A 1,133-nucleotide genomic window follows, 5' to 3' on the forward strand; every position below is an offset into this window, starting at 1 on the left:
TGGATGAGAAGATATTGACATCAGTTTCCTAGGGGCGCCGGCTTTAATGCCCGCGTGGGAAAAGGAAAGAAGTCCTTGAGTCCACATGAGGTAGGGAGTGGGAACAGGGCCGCTGCTTAAAACCTGAACTCTCAAAGGGTGGCACCTGCAGAGAAAGGTGGACTAACAATAATCAATTTACTGGCAAATAGATCAAGGGTGTCTTTGCTCACATTCTGGAGAAGAAAATATACCAATCCAGATGGATTGATAAATTGAGGCATTTATTAATTTATTGCCTCTCAGCTTTGAACTTGTAATACCTGGTCTGGGATCACAGTCTGAACACTGTAAGCCTTTCTCCTTCACAGTAAGGATCATACTATACTTGTCAGCAGAGGGCACTGGAGGGACACTGCAGGAGGAAAAGGGCTTCTCTTCCTGGTTTCTGTGTGAGGGGTTTGGCTTTTTATTGCTCCTGCTGCAGGGTTGGTCAGCAGGGTGGGTGAAGGGGGACATCCAGTGGTGTTCTGCACGGTCCCTCGGTGACCTCACCATTCCAGCCAGTCCTGTGACCACCTTTCCATGGTCCTCCTGACACAGACTTCCCATGCTCCAGACTTTACACCTTGTGTTTCCTGTTTGCCCAGCAACTGCGGATGGGCCGCAGTAAACTCCTCTCCTTCCTGTGAGCTGCAGCCACATCTTTGCCAATGAGTTTTGAACCCCAGCCTCAAGAAGGCCCCATCCTATCCAAATGTGCCCTTCCTTGGGTATTCTCTCTCAGCCCTAGAGTCTCAATGTAGCATTCCCTTTACATCATTTTAGTTACTCTGTTAACATAGCTTAATAATGCCTTATAGTAAATTAACTTATTTAAGTTATTATGTGTGGTTTCTGTCTCCCGATTAGACCCAGACTGATACCACTGAGACATCAAAAATCTCTGGCCTATGCTATTAAAGATACAAATTTATATTACCTAGCATGAGTAAACACAAAAACATTATGAAGGGTTACTTCCTCAACCAAGGTGGCATAGCATTCTCCAAAAAGCGAAATACTGAATATACATCCAATCCAAAATTTAAAAACTCACAACGGAACAACCCTTAAGTATTGTCAAATATACAGTAAAATACAATAATGAATTT

General features: G+C 44.0%; 1 annotated feature.

Annotated features, from left to right (window-relative positions):
* Nucleotides 276-570: an enhancer, noted in NCBI's record as "tiled region #5540; HepG2 Activating DNase unmatched - State 8:EnhW, and K562 Activating DNase matched - State 12:CtcfO". NCBI's record gives its function as "activates a minimal TATA promoter and a strong SV40 promoter by Sharpr-MPRA in HepG2 and K562 cells {active_cell/tissue: HepG2 | K562}" and the evidence as "EXISTENCE:reporter gene assay evidence [ECO:0000049][PMID:27701403]".

The sequence above is a fragment of the Homo sapiens genome, chromosome 15, assembly GCF_000001405.40.
Source record: "Homo sapiens chromosome 15, GRCh38.p14 Primary Assembly".
Taxonomy (NCBI): domain Eukaryota; kingdom Metazoa; phylum Chordata; class Mammalia; order Primates; family Hominidae; genus Homo; species Homo sapiens.